This window comes from Homo sapiens, chromosome 6 (assembly GCF_000001405.40).
Source record: "Homo sapiens chromosome 6, GRCh38.p14 Primary Assembly".
Taxonomy (NCBI): Eukaryota; Metazoa; Chordata; class Mammalia; order Primates; family Hominidae; genus Homo; species Homo sapiens.
The window spans coordinates 156,619,630-156,636,251 of NC_000006.12; the positions used below are offsets into that span (position 1 = coordinate 156,619,630).

The following is a 16,622-nucleotide window of genomic DNA, read 5'->3' on the forward strand; positions in this document are numbered from 1 at the left end:
TCATCAACAAATGCTAAAACTAGTGGGTGAAGGTAGGATAGAAAGTAGGCTGGGAAGCAGATATTTACATAGCCTCAAAGAATCTCTTCAAGAGATACCAATTAATTACAAAGTGAAAAATACTAACGTTACAGAGAAGGAAATGGCCAGACATCACCCTAGTCAAGGGATCAAAATTAATGACACCCACACTAATGGACAGAGGCGTAGCACACTCCTCCTGACACACAGGATTGAGAACACAGCAGCAGAACCACCTGCCAACATTGCATCTGGATTAGTCCATTTTCACACTGCTGATAAAGACATAGCCAAGACTGGGCAATTTACAAAAGAAAGAGGTTTAATGTACTCACAGTTCCACATGGCTGGGGAGGCCTCACAATCACGGCAAAAGGTGAAAGGTACATCTCACATGGTGGCAGACAAGGGAAGAGAACTTGTGCAGTGAAACTCCACCTTATAGAATCATCAGATCTCATAAGACTTATTCACTATCATGAGAACAGCACAGGAAAGACCCACCCCCATGATTCAATTACCTCCCACTGGGTCCCTCCCACAACATGTGGACAGTGGGGGAGCTACAATTCAAGAGGAGCTTTGGGTGGGGACACAGCCAAACCATAACAGCATCCCTGAATCGAAGCATGTGGAAACACAAGATAAACTCAGATCAAGAAAGAGTGCACAACATAACTCGCCTGTCTTCTTCAAAAATGTCAAAGTTACAGCAGCAGAGAGAATAATGACCCCAATAGTACCTGGAACTTGTGGAGAAGTTAGCATGCATGGCAAAAGCATTCTTATAGATGTACTGATTACCCTGGATGAGCTAGGCAGACCCAATCTAATCACATGAGGCCTTAAAGGGGCTTTCCCAGCGGTGGTCAGAGGTCAGACAGACGTAACAACATGAGAGGAACTCAACTAGCCATTGATAGCTCTGCAGATGGAGAAATGGGCCACACGTCAAGGAATGCAGGTGACATCTAGAAGCTGGAAAAGGCAAGGAAACAGATTCCCCACCCCCTAGAGCCTCCAGAAGGGAATTCTGCCCTCCCCACACCTTTTTTTTTTAAGCCCAGGGATACCATCTTGGACTTCTGACCGACACAACTGTAAGGTAATAAACTTTTGTTGTTAAAGACACTAATTTTATGGTAAATTGTTACAGCAGCAATAGAAAACTAATACAGTCATGAAAGACAAAGAATGAGAAACAGGCCAGGTGCTGCAGCTCACGCCTGTAATCCCAGCACTTTGGGAGGCCAAGGCAGGTGGATCACTTGAGGCCAGGAGTTTGAGACTGGCCTGGGCAACTTGGCAAAACACCGTCTCTACTAAAATACAAAAACTAGCTGGTCATGGTGGCTCACACCTGTAGTCCCAGCTACTTGGGAGACTAAGGCATGAGAATCACTTGAACCCAAAAGGTGGAAGTTGCAGTGAGCCAAGATCATGCTGCTGCACTGTAGCCTGGGCAACAGAGCAAGACTCTGTCTCAAAAAAAAAAAAACAAAAAAAGAACAAGGAACTGTTGCAAATTAAAGGAGGCTAAAGATGCATGACAACTAGATACAAGGTGTGATCTTGGATTCAATCACGGATCAAAAAGAGACATTAGTGGGGCAACTGGAAAACTCTGAGATCTTTAGCACAGCAAATACTCTTGTATCAATGTTAGTTTTCTGATTTGGGTTATTGTACTGGTCATGGAAAAAAATGACCTTGTTTTAGGAAATACACACTGAAGTATTTAGAGGTAAAGGAGCATCATGTCTGCAACTTATTCTCAAATGTTTCATATATATATGTTGTGTGTGTATGTAACACACACACAACATATATACATATGGAGAGAGAAAGAGAGAATGAGAGAGAAGTGTAGTAAAATGTTAGCATTTGGTAAGTCTGTGAAGAATACACAGGAATATTTTATACTATTATTGCAACTTTTGTGTGTCTTAAATTTTGCAAAATGAGAAATTTGAAATACAGAAAAAGTAACAAATGTATGTAAAATACTTAGCACCCTCCTTGACACTCAGCAAATTTTCAGTGAATCTTGACTTTGGTTGAGCTTTCAGAGTTTAGCATCTATGCCCTCCTTGCCCATGGCAGGAGTGAATCAACGCACAGACCTGGAGCCGGACTGGGTTTCCGTCCCAGCTTTGCCACTTACTGGTTGTGTGTGACTTTGGACAAGACATTAGCCAGTCTGATCTTCAGTTTTTCCATCTATAAAAAGCCAGTAATATCTATGCCATTAGGTTGTGAGGATTCAATGAACTGATTTATGTGAAGTACATAGAACAAGGCTGGGCCAGTTATAAGTTCTGTATAAGGATCGCTTGAGCCCAGGAGTTCAAGACCAGTTTGGGCAACATAGTAAAACCCTGTCTCCAAAAAAAATAAAATAAAAAATTTAAAAAAAAAATTTAATTAGCCAGGCATGGTGGCACACACCTGGGGACTCTGATCAGTCCAGAATGGTGAGAGAATAGTGGGAGAGATGGCTAAACAGGGGGCTTGGAGGTGGCAAAGAAGAGGGAGGCCAGCCTAGGGCACCAGCATAAGCCCAGGTACCTGGGCTGGACTCCGAGCAGGAAGGTGGAGTGTGATAAGCAAGACAGGATGCCCAGATCCTATCCAGTTCACTCAGATTTCGGTATCTAGCTGCTATTTGTCCTGTGTGTGTTTAATGACTAGGAATTCAGTGCCACTCTGTGCAGATTGCTGAATCTAGAACCATCATGGATATCTGTGAGTAATAGATGATCCTTGCCCTCAAGATACTCAGATTTTAGTAGAGAAGAGAGGCATCCTTTGCAGTAATTGAAGAGTATCAACCAGAGCTGGGAGGAGGGTGGAGAGCTGAAAGGGAAGTCATCAGTCTCACATTCTGCGATGAGTAACAGCATGGGATCTTTGGTACAGAAGATGTTAGGGACATGCTGGCTCTTAGAAGCAGAAAATGACTGGCTGTGCTAGAGAAAGATTACTTGTAAATCCCTAACCAGTGGTAGAGCTGTACTATGCATCATTCTGGTTTCTAAGATAGTCCACAAACTGCAAAAAAGCAGAGGGATCTCCCCTCACCTTCCAGGCAAGCAACTAAATATTTTCCCTCTTTTACAGGGCTCAGCACACCAAAGCTCTTCATTATGTGATGAACTCTGGGTGTTTCTGAAAATATGGACAGACCATAAAAAATCTCAATGTGATTCAGGCAATATGTTGCACTAAAGATACTTCAGCCTCTTTATTCTAAAAGATCAATTATCATCTATTAGTTCAACAATTCTCATCCCATCAAAATTTAAAAATAAAAAGATTTTACATGACTAACGAGCTACTCCTCTCTGTTGGGTCATAATCTTCATTTTAAAGTGTCTGTATTCACAAGAGCAGGGTAAACTGACCTCACGATGTCATTGTTACTGACTTTGTGGTAATTAATGGGAATTTTTCAAATTGTCTGAATCTCTATTTAAATGATTTATATAATGGACTTTCACAGTTGCTGTTACAATCTATCGCATTGTAGTGAAGTAACTTAGATGTGTTTATTACCAATTTATAGGGAATAGAGCAGACTAGAGGTGATAAAACTTTTTTTCTTTCTCGGTTTTCTTATAGTTCTAACATTCTGTGATTGGAATAAGCAGGACAGACACATCTTAGCACATGAGACATTTGTAGTCTAAAGCCAAAGTTATTTTTATTTTAGGTGCTGGCCAGTCCCCTGTGATTTATGACATTATTTCACTACAAATTGCTGTAAGGACAACCACTGCTCACCCATGAAGTGTTCTACATTTACCCATAAATTTTCAGGAATTAAACAGTGTGTGTGCCAGGAATGACTGCATACTGTTTGCCGTTCCCTCCAACTTTGTAAAAACAAAAGAAGGTTTTAGGAAATTGGGGTTTCAGAGTCCACCTTGAGAAAAGAGGAGTGATTCAAGCTAGTATGTGTGTGTCTTCATTACATCCCAAAGCAGACACACGGAGATACGAACGATGTTCTCCCATCCATCAGTATGGCAGGAAGTCTGAAGTAGTGGAGCAGAGTTTTTGGAGCAATATCAGCTCCTTTAGGGTTAAGACCAAGTCTTATTCAAATTTCTTATGTCCTAGGCCTATTGCATTGAGTGCCTAGAAAAAGGTAGTTGCTCAATGAATATAGAATTTGAATTAATCTACATAAGTGTTTAAGCTGTGTAATATGTATTTGAAAAATAAAATCAATATCCAAAAAAAATCTTTATTTGAAAGGTGCATGCAATAGGGAAGTTTTTGCAAATTATAAGATATTTGAATATGATTTGAGGTCTTGAGGGTAATGCCATTTCGAATTCTTAATATCCTAATTATCTTTCATGTTTCTTAAATATTGTAAATAAGCAAAATGATAATTTTTATCTGACATACACTGAGAGAAAATAAAGAAAACAACACTTTTAAAACACAGAGTTCTATATAATGATTAACAAACACAGTATTTCCTATTTCAAGCAAGCTCAATATATGAAAATGTGGATTTTTCTAGATATATGGGAGTTCTTTTTACCACTATTTTTACTTATGTAAAAATGCATTTAACGTTTTTTAAATTAAAAACAAGTTTTAAGTTAAAATGGTTGAGTTTTGCTCATCAATTGTGTTACAGAAGGATTTACCCAGGATTGTAGTACCCACAAAGCATTATTTTTCTAAATCAAAGCATTAAATTTTTTACCACGTACCCTCCTTTTGAAGTTCATTTTTTTCTTTCCTATTTTACAAATTAATAAAATTTAAATTGTCCTTATCTTTGTATATCTAAAAATGTCTCCTTTTTTATACCCAGTCCATTTTTCCTTATCATATTTATTTAGGAATAATTTATATACATGAACTGAAACCATTTAAATGAGTCTCATTAGATACAAATACTCATAAAACACCCACCACAATAGAGATACAAAACATTTCTATCACCCCAGAAGATTCTTGGTACCCATTTGCAGCCCATCATTGCCCCTACCCTAGCCCTGGGCAACCATAGATCTGCCTTCTGTCACTACAGAATTCTCCACGGTTTATATAAATGAAATAATACAGTATGCACTCGTTCGTATCTGGCCTCAGCATGACTGTGCATCTGTAATTCAGCATGATTTAAAGATTTCTCCATTGTTGCTGTATGTTTCAGTAGTTTGTTCCTTTTTGCTGCTGAGTAATATTCTACATATTGGATATACAATATATTGTTTATTTATCAGGTGATAGATATTTGGAGTTATTCCAGGTATTAACTATTATTACTAAAGCTTCTATGAATTTTTTTATGTAAGTATTACTGTAGACATACATTTTCCTTTCTTTTGGGTGAATACTTAAGAGTGGAATGATCCTATGGTAGCTGCATGTTTAACTTTTTAAGAAACTTCCAAACAGATTTCCAACACTGCTGTACAATTGTATATTCCTAACAACAGGTTATGAGAATTCCCTTTGTCCTGCAACATTGCCGACACTTGGTTTTGTCAGTATTTTTAATTTTAGAAGTTCTAGTGGGTAAATAATGGTTTGTCATTGTGGTTTTATTTTTGCATTTCCCTGATGGCTGAGGACATTAGACGTCTTTTCACATATTTTTTGTCCAGTCATTCTTCTTTTGTAAAGTATTCAAATATTTTGTCTATTTTATATTCAGTTGTTTGCTTTCTAATATGAAATTTAAGAGTTCTATGTACTCTGCATACAAACTATTTGTCAGATATACGGGTAGCAAATATTTTACTTCACTCTGTAGTGCTTTTTTTTAATAGGGTCTCACTCTGTCACCTAGGCTAGAGTGCACTGATGCAATGACAGCTCAGTGTAATCTCAAACTCCTGGGCTGCAGCAAACCTCTCTCCTCAGCCTCCTAAGTAGCTAGAACTACAGGTGTGAGCCACTATGACTGGCTTAAGCTTTTAATTTTCTTAACGGCATCTTTTGGAAAGCAAAAGTTTTTAATTTTGATAAAGTTCAATTATTAGTTTTGGGGGGTTATGTTTTATGCTTATTTGTGTTCTAGCTGAGGAATCTTTATCTTTCCCAGGTCACAAAGCTTTTCTCCTATGTTTTCTTCTAGTTTCGTGGCTTTAGTTTTTCTGTTTAAGGCTATGGTCCACATTGGGTGTTTTCATATCATTTTTGTTGTTTTCTTTTTCTACTTTTTACGTGCTCTGAAAAGATGATTTAGCCAGATGCAGAATCTAACTTTGTAGTTGTTTCCCTTCAGCACTTTTTTTTTTTTTTTTGAGATGAAGTCTCACTGTGTCACCCAGGCTTGAGTGCAGTGGCACAACCTTGGCTCACTGCAACCTCTGTCTCATGGGTTCAAGCGATTCTCCTGCCTCAGCTTCCCTAGTAGCTGGGATTACAGGCCTGTGCTGCCACACTCAGCTAATTTTTGTATTTTTAATAGAGACAGGGTTTTGCCATGTTGACCAGGCTGATCTTGAACTCCTGACCTCAGGTGATCCACCTGCCTTGGCCTCCCAGAGTGCTGGGATTACAGGCATGAGCCACCATGCCCGGCCATCCCTTCAACACTTTTAAGATATTATTCCATCATCACCTGGCATCTGATGTTGCTATCAGTCTGATTGCTGTTCCTTTGTAAGTAATCTATATTTCTCTCTGGTGCCTTTTAATTTAGTTCTTTTTTCTTGTCATTCTGCAGTTTTACTAGCATGTATCTAGGTGTGAGGTGGTTTGCTCTGTTTGACAAACAAAATGCCCTTTTAATGCCAGGATTAGGTCTACCTTTAATTCTAGAAAAGTCTTAGCCATTACCTTTTCAAATATTGCTTCTCTCCTATTCTTGCTATGGTGTTTTAGAAATACCTGTTGTAACAACTTCAATTTCTCAACTTACCTTTCATTAAAGGTCCCTCTTAATTCACCTTTATCTCTCAATGCTGCATTCCAGGTGATATGCAAAATTCTGGCTTCTCTCTCAATTTCTTCAACTATATATTCAGTTCAGTATTTCATTTACAACGGTTGCTTTTTTGAGGCCTCTATTTTTCATTTGCAAGATTTCTAATTGGTTTTTATTTATATTCATCTACTCTTGATATCATTACCTACTTAATTTATATTTTATAGTTGTTGCTTATCATATTGAAGATTGTAAATGTATTTACTTTAATGTAAGTTTCAGATTCTTCTATTATTTGTAGTTTTCCAGGCATAAATTCTTCCAATTTTGTTTGAGAGTTCATACTGCAAGGGAGTTTCCTACCTAACAGCCATTCCCCACTTCTTCACTAATAAAACCCAGTTTTATCTCGAGTATCAATGTGTCCAGCCAACAGGTGATCCAAGACACACCTGCTCTAAGACAATTGTTACTATTTGTTTCCCTTTGCCAGATGTTCAATTTCCCAGCCTCCTCTGTGACCAAGTTCATCCTAACAATATACGATGGAGATTCTGTTTGGGAGTATCTGAGAAGACAGGAATCACACGTGATACCTGGAGCTGCAGCAGCCGTCTTATGACCTAAGGCAACAAACAGCAAACTAAGCAGAAAAGAGAATGTTAGAGGGAGCCTGGATCCTTCATGGCATTGTTGAGCTGCTAGACCACCCTAAGGCAGCCCACCTCCATTCTCTTTTTATTAAGAAAATCATTAATGTCTGTATGGTTTAGGCCACAGTCACTTGCTGCTAACATCATTCCACACTGGTACAGGAGGCTTTTCCCCTCCCTAGGCTGGGATGCCTCAACATCAGAAGCTCAGAAGTATAGCCTCACCGTCCTGGGTCTTTATGGTTCCCAACCTTAAGCCAGGACAGAACTTGGTCCACCTCGTGGTCACACAAGTTCCACTGCTTCCACCTCTGCCACAGCTAGTAAGCAGCTGGTTTACTTACTATGCCTAGTAAGTATATAAACCTGCTGAAACCCCAGGTGGGTTAGCTGGAGTTTCCTCCACTTCCAATCACCTGCATAGAACCACAATCCCAGCACTGACTTCATGACAGCAGCCTGAGGTGAGACTGCACTCACCCTCTCTGTTCCACTCCCACTTTGAAATCCTAGATACCAAACAGGCTACCTTCTCCCCGCCTCCCACAGGCCTCCAGCCTCAGCCAACACTCACTGCTGTGGAACTCTGGTCCTAGACTTCCCACTTTTCCTTTAGCACAGCTATGCAGCTCTAACTTTTGTTTCTAAGTTGTCCCTAATTTGTGTATGTATGGAACAGAACTTTCCACATCTACTCATTTTGACACCTTGCCTGAAAGCTATCCCAATGCATTTTTAACTGTTATATTTGGGCTTTTTACAAATAGGCCTACTCTTGTAAAAATTTAGAAGCACAGAGAAATGTAAAAATAAAAATCAACATTAACCCGCCACCACTATTAACATTAAGATACATTTCTTTCTAGTCTTTTTCTATGCATATATATAAACATACTGTTTTATAAAATTGTGGCATACTTATAGACTGGGTTATATCTTACTTTTTTGTTTAATATAAACATTTTCATATATATGTAATATCGATCTATCATAATTTCCTGACTCTCCTATTATGGATATGTTATTGTTTTTAATTTGTACCCACCATACATAATGTTGCATTATAAATATTTCATTATTTCCTTAGGATGAAGTCCTAGAAGTAGGCTTACCAAGACAAAGGGTATGAACATTTAAACATATAGATACATATTGCCAAAGCATTCTCCCAACAAATGTTTATCCTCTCAAATTCTGAGTTTAATAATGTTTCAAACTTGCCAATCTGATAAACAAGAGTCAGTGTTCTTTTAATTTACATTTCTTTGATAGTCATAAGTTTGAACATTTTTTATGATAATTAGCCATTTGTCTTTCCTTCCAGTGCATTTTAAATAACATTATATTTACAACTTTGCAGAAACAGCTATTCCACAAATTAAATCAAAATACCTCTTTGTGCATAGTAAGTATATAAACCAGCCTCAAAATTGTCCATGTTTATATCTGTTTTATAATAGATATCTCTATTTTTCAGGTTGAAATGTCGTCTTCATTTTACTTTGGGTTCAAATTCTAACTGGACTCAGTCTTTAGGTAATTTACAGCCAAAGGTGTGGGAATGTAGAGAAGACATGTATATGAACACAAGTGACAAAATTACGTGTGTGCGTGTGTGTGCATACATGTTTATGTGTATGTATAGTCAACAACAACATATGGGTCAATGGCAGACCACATATATGAAGATGGTCCCATAAGATTATGATGGAGCTGAAAAATGCCTATCACCTACTGATGTCATAGCTGCCATAAAGTCACAGGGCAATGCATTACTCACCTGTTTATGGTGATGCTGGTATAAACCAACCCACTATGCTGCCAGCCCTATAAAAGTCTAGCACATACAATTATATATAGTACGTAATACTTGATAATAAATATGTTACTGGTGTATGCCTTTACTATACTATAATCATTAGAGTATATTCCTTCTGCTTTTTTTAAAAAAACAAAACAAAACAAAAAGAACTGTAAACAGCCTCAGGCAGGTCCTTTAGGAGGTATCCAGAAGAAGGCATTGCGGCCATAAGAGACGACAGCTCCATGTGTGTTACTGCCCCTAAACACCTTCCAGTGGGACAAGATGTGGGGGTAGAAGACAGTGATATGGATGATCCTGACCCTGTGTAGGTCTAAGCTAATGAGTATGTTTATGTCTTTGTTTTTAGAAAAAAAAGTTTTGAAAGTAAAAAATAAATTTAAAAACAAAAAAAAAAGCTTATAGGAAAGGATATAAAGAAATATTTTTGTGCAGCTATACCATGCGTTTGTGTTTTCAGCTGTGTTATTACAAATGAGTCCAAAAGTTTTTAAATTTTTAATTTTATAAAGTTACAGTGAGCCAAGGTTAATTTATTGTTGAAGAAAAAAATTTTAAATTAACTTAGTGTAGCTTAAATGTACAGTGTTTATAAAGTCTACAGTCATATGCAATCATGTCCTGCGCCTTCATATTCCCTTATCACTGACTCACTGACACCCAGGGCAACTCCTAGTCCTGTAAGTTCCATTCACGGTAAGTGCCCTATACAGGTGCACCATTTTTATATTTTATACTGTATTTTCTCTGTACCTTTTCTATGTTCCCACGTGTGTAGATACGCAAATACTTACCACTGTGTTACAATTGCCTACAGTATTCAGAACAGTAACAGGTGTTACCAGTTTGTAGCCTAGGAGCAATAGGCTCTACCATATAGCCTAGGTGTGTAGCAGGTGGTACCATCTAGGTTTAGTAAGTACACTCTATGAGGTTCGCATATCATTAAATCATTTAACAACACGTTTCTCAAAATGCATCTCCATTGTTAATCGACACATGACTGTATATATACAACACGCACGCAAATAATTCATATGTAATTAACCACAGGCGTAAACGACTTTTAATCTGTGTACTTCAATGTAATTATGTATTTCCATGATCTCTGGTCATGTACAAATTTGCTTTGAAATCCATTAAAAATTGCATTTAAAAATGTTACCATTTTGGCCCGGAGCAGTAGCTCATGTCTGTAATCCTAGCACTTTGGAAGGCCGAGGCAGTGGATTGCCTGAGCTCAGGAGTTCGAGACCAGCCTGCACAAACTGGTGAAACCCAGTCTCTACTAAAATACAAAAAATTAACCAGAGTGGTGGTGGCACCTGTAGTCCCAGCAACTTGGGAGGCTGAGGCACAAGAATTGCTTAAACCTGGAAGGTGGAGGTTGCAATGAGCAGAGATCGCTCCACTGTACTCCAGCCTGGGCAACAGAGTGAGACTCCCTCTTACAAAAAAAAAAAGAAAAGAAAATTTTACCATTTTGTCTCATAAACCACAAATCAAATCTAAGACTCATCTTAGAATGAACTAAAGACAAATGCTATGTGGTTGACTTAAGACTCACCCCTTCATACGTTCAACGATAATGCAACGGCTTTACATCATGTCTATGGAAACTGAAAAAAATATTCAGGGAGATTATTAGGGGAAAGATGAGTTCAGTTGTAGGTAGATTTTAAGAGTGTCTGTGAGGAGATGGGCCCCTCCTCTGCGGAGAGGCGCGAGAAAGGCCTTGGGTTTGGGAGAAGCCTGGAGGTCATGGTCGGGTGCAAGGGTGTAGCAGACCCGGTTCGGATCCTGGCTCAACCGTGCCCCTGGTGCATCCTTGCGCGAGGGACCTGACATCTCCGTGGATAACGGGTTAATAATAGCAGCCACCTCACAGTTTAGCTTTCAGGAGGTAATACCCATGCATGAAGCAACTCAGCCCAACGTCCGGCATATGTTAGGCGCTCAGGAGTTGTTGCTCTTACCTATGAACAGTGGTGATGTGCGATGACCACAGTGACGCTCGCGGGAGACCGGGCTGGGCCGGCGGGCAGCCAGAGAGCAAGGTCCAGGCACAGGGGCCCCTGGAGGTGGGGCCAAGGCTGCCATGGAAAAGGAGCTTTAGCGCAACGCCTGCAGCTGACTCGTGTTTTGCATTAGGAAGCGTTTCACTGCCTAACGACGGATCACCTGGCCCAGCCTAAGGAACTGCAGCCTCGCAGATCCACGGGACCTGCGCGCAGGGCTCCAGGTGAGGGCCGAGCGCGGCCCCCACAACCCGGAGCCCGGTTCCCGGGCTAGGATGTGTCTTAATAGGGTGACTTGTCAGGTTTGAGGTAGGCTGGTGGGGACAGACAGGGAACAGTGTCCTGCGTGCTTAGACCAGGGCTGTTCACATTTCTGGATTTGGTCCCACACTTATCACAAACAATTAGGCGTCATCGCCTGTGTGTCTGAATGTGGCACTGGCTTCTCAGATGACAAATTTCTTCGTGGTGGTAGCAGTGCATCTCTAAGGCGTCCTGAAGCATCCTAGCGTTTCTAAATTTCAAGATACCCTGTTTCTCCAAAACTTTGTTTGGCAGGTGTCTGAGTGCTCGCACCCGGGTCTACTAAATAACGCACCTGCAGGAGCACTTAGCATCCAAAGAACCATCATGATCATGGTTTCGGAAGTCTCGGATACTCCCAGGGAATGGGAAGAAATCCTGCTGTATGAACCTCCCACCCAAGTCCGCTCATCACAGATTTGCTTCCCATTTGCCAAATTTCGGTGGAATTTACATTAACTCAGAGTTAGGAAAAATCCTTTACCAGATTTTGTTGGTTTATTATTTAAAACAGTGTAAATCAGTGTAGTTCCTCCTCTATTCCTTTCTGCTTTTGGACACGCTGAAATACACAAACATTTAAATTATTGGGCCAGTTTCTTAACATACTTCTTTTCTCTCAGTGGAGACCTAGAAAAATAATACCAAACAGTGAAGATGAAAATTTGATCTGATATTTCAACCAGTATTTTAAACCCATTTCTTGATCATTACCAAAGTATTTCACAAAAGAATCAGCCCAAGGAAACTGGAGTTATTCTTTCACTTTTTTTTTTTTTTTTTCATGAAAAAAGCCTAAATAGACGTGTCTTGAAATTGTTCTTCACATCTTCTGGTCAAGTTACAAAGTCTCCCTCCAGTCAGTCTTGTGTATCTCAGATCTGGCTAAGTGGAGGACCTGGGTGTCTGTCTCCCTCAAGCCTATTTTAATCATTTGTAGCTGGAACTTTTGTTAATAAAACTTAGTTTAAGTGCTTCTTAAATAGAAAGGAACCATGATGGGGCCATGGGAGGGCCTAGGTGTGAAAGGCATCAAAGTTAAATCTTGTGATCTTAGTTGCCTCATCAATTAATATAAGATGCCATTAGTAATAATAATGCAAGCTTCAAAAGATTTTGTCAGAACTAAGAGCATATACATATATATTCCTATATATAGGAATATACAAATATATAATATTACTAAGAATATATAAATATATTATAAATAATATATACAGTATATTACTAATAGTATATATAGTATATATATTGCTAATATATATTTATAGCGTATATATTCCTATATACTTAGAATATATATATTTTTTTCTTTTTTCCTCTTTGAGAGACAGACACTCATCGCCTAACATGCAGTAAGGGTTCAATCATTGCCTCCATCCTTATTTTTTCATTACTGTGACCTCCTTTTTTGAAATCAGAACAACGGATTTTTCATCAGAGGGTCTTGAAAATTCATGATCTATGTGCATAGCTACTACCACACCTCCGACTTCCACTCCAGAACACTCACTCTAACCTCAGCTCTCTCACCTTGTAAGGGCTCAGGCTTGTAGCCAGAGGTACTTAATAAATCTTTGTTGATGATAAGCCAATATGTTTCATATCATGGCAGCTTTAAATGGCCCTGCCTCACTTAAATAAGGGCCAGAAGCACGGAAAACAACCACCAGAGTTCTGGCACCCTCTCTGGATTCCATCCGGACCACCTCTGAGGCACAAATTATTCCCTGGGCAAATCTCACACCCATCTTCATCCCAGGTGGTTCTCTGAGCGTTCTCTGGGGAAGGCGCCTCAGTTCCTGATGCACAGTCAGGGTCTGCTTGCCTTTGTGGTCCATGTTAAACCCACCTTTCCAGTGCAATCTCCAGCCTCTCCCCTTGCTCATGGTTCTGGCGTTTGTCCCCTGCTCTCTCACCCAGCAGCCATGGAGGAGACCTACCCCTCCTATTTCCCCAATATAGGGGAGAAGAACCAGACACTCAGGCACTTCAGGACAACGTCAGGTGTGGTGCAACCAAATAATGCCAAAGAATGCTTTCCAGAAAGATTGGATGCAAGAGTGGCCCAAATGGGCTAGAACGCGGACGATCTGAACTGGTCATCTGCAGGTGGACACAGGGCTGGGCTCGGAGCATGAAACCAAGTCCCGGGATGGCCGAATGAGGACTTGGCACACAGGGCCAAGAGTCCAAAGATGAACCAAAACCAGGAAGCTGTTGGAGCTGTCAAATCTTCTGCCAAAGATCCAGACCCAGCCCAAACTCAAAGGGCTGCTCTTGGTCAGGGGAGAACAAGTGATCCGAGGGAGTCGAGTAGGCACTCGGGTGGTGTCAGCGGGGCTGAGTCCTGCAGATGCTGGGGACAGGACGGAGAAGCACAAGGCTGTCATTTTAGAAGCACCGAGGACAGTGCAGGGCCAGGTCCTCTCAGAGGCTCCTGCAGATGAAGAAAAGGGTTGGTTCAGAGCCAAAGGCAGAGCTGAAGCCACAACTTCCAGGTTTAAGTGCTGACTCGGGATGGGTGCTGGAACATGCACCAGGCAAGCCATTCTATAATGTGTATCTGCATGTCTGCAGGTTGCATGGTTGTCACTGAGGAGCTCTCTCCGACTGGGGCCCAGCCTGTACCCTGGCAGATGGAGCAAGGTCCAGGGGAAGGCCCTGAAGCCTAGGAGCACTGGGATTTCTCTGTGGGCCCCTCCTCTGCCAGAGCAGCCATCTTTACCAAAGGGAGAGAACACGGAGGGCTGGTGGGAAACCAGGGAGAGTTTATGGGCTCACCAGCTGTCTGAGCAGCAGGCAAGCAAGTCTGTCTAAGCTACAGGACTTCAGAGGCAGCCCATACTCCAGACTTCCCAGACCTCTCCTAGAGGATGTGGGCAGGCAGGAAACATATCAGCAGCTTGGTAAGACACCAAACACAATCAGAGGGGAAGGAGGAAGTGGGTAACGCCCAAGCACACATAGGCTTGATGGTAGAGGTGGCCATAAAACTCACTGAGGAGACCCATTCTTATTTCCCCCTAAGGCCATCTTACCATCCCCAGGCAAGAACGGTGCTAAACAATGGCTTCCAAGTGCCCATTCCGGAGGCAGACCATCATTGCCATGAGGCAGACCATCACTGCCATTAGCCCACGCTTGCGCACTGCATCCTCTCTGCTCACAAGGGGTAAAAACACAGGAACTCCTGCTTAATGCTGGTTTTTCATTTGGCTCTTTATTCTTATCTGTTCTTGATTCAATGACCATTTGCAGTTAGATTTTTTACCTAAATGGATGATGGTCACCATTTTTTTAGTTACCCCATCTCCAGGGCTTTGACTGCACAAAACTTACATCCAGCTCTTTAGCTAAAGTTAGATTCACCTTGTGTCTTGGCTCTTAAGATTTCAACAAGTTGTCTGGCCTTGCTTGAACTCATAGCTCTGCAAATACAAGGTCTATTGGAAATCTAGAGTTGTCACCTTTTTCCCCTGGGCAATCAACTGTACAATCACAAGGAATGTTCGCGATTGCTATTACTGTAACTCTCGGAACACAGGCACCATAAAACTCTGCTGAATAAAAAGAAGAAAAAGACTCATAACTTAAGAAGCTGCCAGGGTTTAAAGTGTGGCCTTCAGAAGCCCAGGACTGCTGAGCCACTAACGCCTGAAACGCTTGAGTCTGAAAAGAGACATAATGTATATTAGCTTTCTCAGCAAAAGCACTTTAGCCAACTCTGTTTTCATATTCCTCAACTCAGTTCCTTTGAAAATGAAAGTAAAAATAAAGCAATACTCCTTATAATTTCCTCAAGACCTTGGAGTGTGGGTTAAAGAAAATCTGCTGATTCTGCTGACCTCCGCGAAGGTGTCGTGGGGGCGGGGAGGAGTCACTGCATTTGGGTCTCGTGCGGGTCCCTAAGAGCTGGGCTTTGCCTGTGCTTTCGATATTTTCTTTCAAACTTGCCATTTTGCTGCTGCAGCTGGGCTTGTCAGTTTTCAGTACTAATGGGTTGTGATGGGGTGTCAGGGGAAGTCAACAATCAATGCTTGAAAAAAACTGGTGGGGGCCGTTGTGGGGTGGACCATCACTGCTGACATGGCCAGGAACAGAAATACAATGGCCTTCTTTTGTAGAAAAATAGACAAGAAATACTACACTGTGTTTTGCTTTTAAGATTAGTATAGATTTTTATCCTTTGATGACTGGGTTGTCTGCCCTTCCCCCACTGTAAGTTTGGCTATCAAACAACATAGATTCTGGCTTTTAAATAAACCACTGTACAGTATAGTTAACATTACAATTCATGGTGTGAATTGGAGTTGTTTCTTGCAGGAAGATGAATGAAGATGGGGAAATGTCTGCCAAAACAGAGGCATGAAAGAAATGGTGTGAGATGGCCAGGCTCACCTTGTGAATAGGCCTGTTTTAGGAAAAACTCATTTAGACCCCAGTGTTGTGTGACAGTAGAATACCATTACAGTAACGTTCAGCATAATGATGCTAATGGGAAAAGCATCAGTGCCTGGCTGAAGTTTACATCCAGGGCAAGAAATCTCACTGAACATGTTTTTACTAATAATTCAGTAGAACCCTATTGTGACACTGGTATCAGAATGCAAGAACAATATTTGCCTCATGCGTTGTTTTACTCAAGTCATATATCAGGGATTATACGTGGAAAATGATTTGACCCTACTGTAATATAATCTGTGATAGCAAAGCACTTTCAAAACAGGGCTTTACTGTACTTATTGACGTGAATTCTACTCATGCCAAGAATCCCAGAGTGATAATCAAGTAAAATTGTTCTGAGTTAACTTTATATAACACTTGAGTTCCTGAAAAATTTGGGGTGACTCGGAGTAAAACTCAGAATCACATCCTTATCTATCCACTTTGTAAATTCAAAT

General features: G+C 40.6%; 1 annotated feature.

Moving 5' to 3' along the window:
• Positions 11,658-12,158: an enhancer, noted in NCBI's record as "H3K4me1 hESC enhancer chr6:156952421-156952921 (GRCh37/hg19 assembly coordinates)". NCBI's record gives its function as "activates a minimal SCP1, AML or CMV promoter by ChIP-STARR-seq in primed H9 embryonic stem cells {active_cell/tissue: H9 hESC(primed)}" and the evidence as "EXISTENCE:reporter gene assay evidence [ECO:0000049][PMID:30033119]".